Source organism: Homo sapiens, chromosome 9, assembly GCF_000001405.40.
Source record: "Homo sapiens chromosome 9, GRCh38.p14 Primary Assembly".
In the NCBI taxonomy this organism is placed as follows: domain Eukaryota; kingdom Metazoa; phylum Chordata; class Mammalia; order Primates; family Hominidae; genus Homo; species Homo sapiens.
Window position 1 is genome coordinate 30,568,008 of NC_000009.12, and position 7,113 is coordinate 30,575,120.

Here is a 7,113-nt window from a genome sequence, read left to right on the forward strand (position 1 = left end):
GCAAATTTCTTGTCTGACGAAGGCCGGTTTTCTCATAGATAGTGCCTTCTTGCTGAGACTTCCCATTGTATAAGGGACAAAAAACTCCCTTGGGCCTCTTTTGGTAAGAGTACTAATCTCATCCATGAGGGTTTTGTCCTCATGACTTAGTCACCTCCCACAAAAACCTATCTTTTAGTACTATTACATTGGAGACTGGGTTTCAATGCACAAATTATGGGAGGAAACCAACTTCAGACAATGGTGATAATGGGCACGCATATATATTTATGGGCATATATATGTATATTTAATTTTACTTAATATTTTGTGCATGTTTATTTTATTTAGGATTGTTTGCAAGTTATCTAGTTAGCCATACTACTATAACAAATATGTTTAAATTTAATTTTCATAATTTGATAGGTATTATTGTCTATAGAAATTTAAAAATGGAAATTGACTAAATCATACATTATTTTATTAAAATGTTAAATATTTGTTAGTAATTATTTGAGTATACAGTTTACTTACCGTTTATATGCTTAACCACCACATTATGGTAGCTTGAATAAATTAACTCCTGAATAAAAATTATAAGTGCTGGGATAAAGGAGAAAAAAGTTTTCTCCCTCATGTGACAATTGAGAGTAGTTTAATTCAATTTAACCCTTGCCTTTGAGTAGCAAATGCAAACAGCTGAAGGTTCCTGCAAAATATGAGGAAGTAGAGTTTATTTGCACTTGAAACAAGTTGCCTATATATATAGCTTATAAGTTGTAAGGACTGTGGTGTTTGGAAAGATATTGTAGTTGGAGTCATAACAGAAAACCTGCTGGAAGCTGGAAATTTAAAATTGGTTTCTCAAAAGTGTAAAGTGAATGCTGTTTCACTGCAATTTGGCAGTATACCAGAAAAATATAAAAGTATTATTGTTTTTCATGCTGATCAAAATTCAGACAAACTAATAGATCTATACATATGTGAATTTTTATTACAATGATTTTAATGATGTACTTGCTTCTAAAGCATAATATACTATTTATTATGCCACAGGTTCAAACAATGTTCAAAGAAACTTTCATTCAATCAGATATTTTAGACATAAAAAAGGCAGCATGGGTCCCTAGCTCCAGCTCAGTTTTTAAAACCTTTCAACAGTTCTGTTTACACTTCTACTACAGTAGTTTATTCTGCATTTGCTATCCTTAATCAAATAAGGGTTTAAATATGCATAAGGAGTCACACCACATTTGCAACATTAAAAAACATACAATTTCATGTGTTTAATTACCTTATTTATTAAAGTATAATTTTCTAACAGGTAAAATTATGACTCTAATGCAAATATAAAATTAATTTGTATCAAAGATGTTATTCAACTCATTAAGTGATTCGGGTTCCAGTAACATATTAACATCATTACAAGGAACATTAAAATTGCTTTATAGCCAATGTTGAGGTAAGATTATTAGTTAGTTCCAACACTGGTTAGTATCCAACATAGCCAGAAGCCATAATCTTTGGTAGTTATCTGTTTCATTGGACAGAAATAAATTTCTCTTCTACTGGAGAGAATTTTTCATCTTTTCTACTATTTCTGCACAAAAAATGCCTCTCAATAGTAAGACAAACCCAGCATTGCACTAAAAAAAAATCTTAGTAATCTCTTACCCATATTTTTCTTTTTTACTTTATAAAATATATCTCTTCATTGGGTTTTCTATCTGAAGATTTACACATATATACAGTAAAATGAATAAAAGCATAGCAAGTGTATATATTAATAACATTTTTACATTTATGTTTAATTAAAATACAACACATTGCACATATTCAAAGTGTAAATGACATGATTTTGACATATGCATGTGCCCATTAAATAATCATCATAAACAAGATAATAAACATGTCCAAAAGTCCCAAAACTTCCTAGTGAACTTTGTAATGCACACTCATACCTCTCAGGTGTGAAGTACCTAAATACACAGACAGACAAACATGCACACACACTTGGATATCTAATTGTTTCAGCAGCATTTGTTCAAAATGTTAACCTTATGCCCATGAATTGTCTAAAAACTTTTTTAAAAATTAGCTAACAAACATTCTCTCAGAACACAGTACAATCAAATTAGAACTCAGGATGAAGAAACTCACTCAAAACCACACTAAAACTGAACAACCTGCTACTGAGTGACTACTGCGTAAATAACGAAATTAAGGCAGAAATCAAGAAGTTCTTTGAAACCACTGAGAATAAAGAGTCAATATACCAGAATCTCTGGGACACAGCAAAGGCAGTGTTAAGAGGGAAATTTATAGCACTAAACTAAATGCCCATATCAGAAAGTAGGAAAGATCTGAAATTGACACACTAACATCACGATTAAAAGAGCTAGAGAAGCAAGAGCAAACAAATTCAAACGCTAGCAGAAGACAAGAAATAATTAAGATCAGAGAAGAAATGAAGGAGATGTAGACACGAAAAATGCCTTAAAAAATCAATGAATCCAGGAGCTGTTTTTTTGAAAAGATTAACAAAATAGATATACCGCTAGCCAGACTAATAAAGAAGAAAAGAGAGAAGAATCAAATAGACACACACACACACACACACACAAAATGATAAAAGAGATATCACCACTGATCCCACAAAATACAAATTACCATCAAAGAATACTATAAACACATCTACCTAAATAAAACAGAAAATCTAGAAGAAATGGATAAATTCCTAGACGTATACACCCTCCCAAGACTACACCAGGAAGAAGTTGAATCCCTAAATAGACCAATAACAAGTTCTAAAATTGAGGCAGTAATCAATAGCCTACAAAACAAAAAGCCCAGGACCAGACAGAATCACAGCTGAATTGTATCACGAGGTACAAAGAGGAGCTGGTACTATTCCTTCTGAAACTATTCCAAACAATAGAAAAAGAGGGACTCCTCCCTAACTCATTTTATGAAGCCATCATCACCCTGATGCCAAAAACTGACAAAGACTCAACAAAAGAAGAAAATTTCAGGCCAATATCCCTGTTGAACATCGATGCAAAAATCCTCAATATAATACTGGCAAAACGAATCCAGCAGCACATCAAAAAGCTTATCCACCACGATCAAGTCACTTCATCCCTGGGATGCAAGGCTGGTTCAATATACGCAAATCAATAAACGTAATCCATCACATAAACAGAACCAGGGACAAAAACCACTTGATTTTCTCAATAGATGCAGAAAAGTGCCTTCAATAAAATTCAACATCCCTTCATGCTAAAAACTCTCAATAAACTAGGTATTGATAGAACATATCTCAAAATAATAAGAGCTATTTATGACAAACCCATAGCCAATATCATACTGAATGGGCAAAAGCTGGAAGCATTCCCTTTGAAAAGCAGCACAAGATAAGTGTGCCCTCTTTCATCACTCCTATTCAACATACTATTGGAAGTTCTAGCCAGGGCAATCAGACAAGAGAAAGAAATAAAGGGTATTCAAACAGAAAGAGAGGAAGTCAAATTGTCTCTGTTTGCAGATGACACGATTGTATATTTAGAAAACCGCATTGTCTAAGCCCAATAACTCCTTATGCTGATAAGCAACTTCAGCAAAGTCTCAGGATATAAAATCAATGTGCAAAAATCACAAGCACTACTATACACCAATAATAGACAAGTAGACAGCCAAACCATGAGTGTACTCCCATTCACAATTACTATGAAGAGAATAAAATATTTAGGAATACAACTTACAAGGAAAGTGAAGGACTTCTTCAAGGAGAAGTACAAACCACTGTTCAAGGAAATAAGAGAAGACACAAATAAATGGAAAAAAAATCCATGGTCATGGATAGGAAGAATTAATATTGTGAAAATGGCCATACTGCCCAAAGTAATTTATAGATTCAATGCTATTCCCATCAAGCTACCATTGACTTTCTTTGCAGAATTAGAAAAAGCTAATTTAAATTTTATATGGAACCAAAAAAGAGCCCATGTAGCCAACACAATCCTAAGCAAAAACAGCAAAGCTGGAGGCATCACGCTACCTGATTTCAAACTATACTACAAGTCTACAGTAACCAAAACAGCATGGTGCTGGCACCAAAACAGATATATAGACCAATGGAAAAGAACAGAGATCTCAGAAATAACGCCACACATCAACAACCACCTGATCTTCGACAAACTTGACAAAAACAAGCAATAGGGAAAGGATTCCCTATTTAATAATTCGTGCTGGGAAAACTGGCTAGGCTTAGGCAGAAAACAGAAACCGGACCCCTTCCTTACATCTTATACAAAAATTGACTCGAGATGGATTAAAGACTTAAATGTAAAACCTAAAACCATAAAAACCCTTGAAGAAAATCTAGGCAATATCATTCAGGACATAGGCATGGGCAAAGACTTCATGACTAAAACATCAAAAGCAATTGTAGCAAAAGCCAAAATTGACAAATGGGATCAAAGTAAACTAAGGAGCTTCTGGTTAGCAAAGAAACTGTCATCGGAGTGAACAGGCAACCTACAGAATGGGAGAAAATTTTTGCAATCTATCCATCTGACAAATGTCTAATATCCAGAATCTACAAGGAACTTAAACAAATTTACAAGAAAAAAAACAACCCCTCAAAAAGTGAGCAAAGGATATGAACGGGCACTTCTCAAAAGAAGACATTTATATGGCCAACAAACATATAAAATAAAGCTCATCATCAATAGTCATGAAAGAAATGCAAATCAAAACCACAATGAGACACCATCTCATGCCAGTTAGAATGGCGATTATTATAAAGTCAGGAAACAACAGATGCTGGTGAGGCTGTGGAGAAATAGGAATGTTTTACACTGTTGGTGGGAGTGTAAATTACTTCAACCATTGTGGAAGAGAGTGTGTCAATTCCTCAAGGATCTAGAACCAGAAATACCATTTGACCCAGCAATCCCATTACTAGGTATATACCCAAAGGATTATAAATCATTCTACTATAAAGACTCATGCACACATATGTTTACTGCAGCACTATTTACAATAGCAAAGACTTGGAATCAACCCAATTGCCCATCAACAATAAACTGGATAAAGAAAATGTGGCACATATATACCATGGAATGCTATGCAGCCCTAAGAAAGAATGAGTTCATTCCTTTTGCAGGGACATGGATGAAGCTGCAAGCCATCATTGTCAGCAAACTAACATAGGAACAGAAAACCAAACACCACATGTTCTCACTCATAAGTGGGAGTTGAACAATGAAAACACATGGACACAGGGAGCGGAACATCACACACCAGGGCCTGTCGGGGGTGGAGGACAAGTGGAAGGAGAGCATTAGGACAAATACCTAATGCATGTGAGGCTTAAAACCTAGATGACAGGTTGATAGGTGCGGCAAATCACCATGCTGCTATGTAACAAACCTGCACGTTTTGCACATGTATCCCAGAACTTAAAAAAAAAAATCTCAATTCTGCAATTTATAGTACGTACATCTTAACATCATGAACATTTTACATTAAAACCTTTAGATTATATGAAAATTTATAAGGTAGCAATCTAATAATGTAATTACGATGGCAGTATAAAAACGCAGTCATGTTAATTTAATAATGTTAAAGAAAATAAAACAAATTTTTCTATAAACTTGGATTAAAAATAGTAAAATATTATGTTTATGTTAAAAAACTAGCTGATCACACATGCATACTTCTTTATTAGTACTACATTATCTTAATTACTCTAATTTTATACGTAGTCTTGAAACTAGGTACTTTTAGTTTTCCAAATTTGTTGCCTATCAAGGTGATTTGCCATTCTAGGTCCTTTGACCATCTAAGGAAATTTCAGAATTTCAGCTACATAATTTCTAAAAGAAGAAATCCAGCTAGGATTTGATTGGGGTGATCGATGTGGGCGGAGTAAACATCTTAACAGTATTGAGATTTACAGCTTAGAAATTCCATTCCATTTATTTAGGTCTTTATTTATCTCAGCAATATTTTATAGTTTCAAGGGTACAGATGTTTCCTGTTGTTTTCAGAATTATCCCTAAGTACTATACATTTTGATACTATTGTAAACGTTGTTATTTTAATTTTTTCTCTTTCCATTGACGGTCTTAAATCATAATTTAATTGGGTAATACAACTGGGTTTTGAAAAAAGTATATATATACACACAAACACGCATATATATTATATATAAACCAAATATATTCATATAATATACATTTTATTTTTTCTGAATTTTGCACAGTGGCTGTGCTATTATATCTTGTTATAATTGTACTTAATAACACTCAGCCTGTTTTCAAGGACAATATATCCAAAAACATGGCATGTTTCAGTTTATTTAGCATCACAAAACTCTCAAATTGTACTTACTTTTGATGGCAGTGGTGCCCCCTCTGGAGTGGCCACTGCGAGAGCGCCAGCTGCAGTGGGGGAGGTGCAGTCCGGCCTGCATGCTTCACAGAACCAGCCGGGGCCAGAAACAGGCAAGAACCCTGCACCTTACAGAGCTGGCGGGACGCGAGCACCATGCTCCCACCATGCTCCCAGGTGCAGTTGCAGCGGCCCAGCTGTGGCTCTGGACCTGGGCAGCCCTGTGCTCTTGGGGGCCTGGGAAACACCCTGACCTTGCAGGCTAGGAAGTGCTTGCTCATGTTCCCTGGCCTCTCCCTGCTCCCAGGGCTTGCTTTGGTGTGAAGCAAAGTTGTGGCTGAGCCCGGGGAACTGTTGCGACCCAGACAGACATGTGCGTGATATAGGGCTGCTGACACACCAGCCTCCAGCCGCCTCAGCCCCCTCCAGACTCTGGGCACTAACGAGAACGTGAGGGAGGCTGCGGGGCTGAGGGTGGCTCGGCATGGGCCTGTGGGCACCCCTTAGCGTGGACAGCCTGGGCACCGCAGCCGGTATATTGATGGCGGTGGGAGGCTAAGAGGTTTCCGGGCGGGAAGAGCTGGGTCCCCAGTGAAACCCCACCTTCAAGCCAGGGATGACCCAAAGGCTAGGGGCCACGCTACCAGTTCCGGGTGGAGTCCGCTACCCGGATGGTGCTTTTTCCAGGCCCGCCCATGGCTGCCCATAGACCAATCAGCATTCACTTCCTCCATTCTG

The 7,113-nt window shown here is 36.6% G+C and overlaps 1 annotated feature.

The window, feature by feature from the left end:
* Window positions 6,021-6,596: an enhancer, noted in NCBI's record as "H3K27ac-H3K4me1 hESC enhancer chr9:30574026-30574601 (GRCh37/hg19 assembly coordinates)". NCBI's record gives its function as "activates a minimal SCP1, AML or CMV promoter by ChIP-STARR-seq in primed H9 embryonic stem cells {active_cell/tissue: H9 hESC(primed)}" and the evidence as "EXISTENCE:reporter gene assay evidence [ECO:0000049][PMID:30033119]".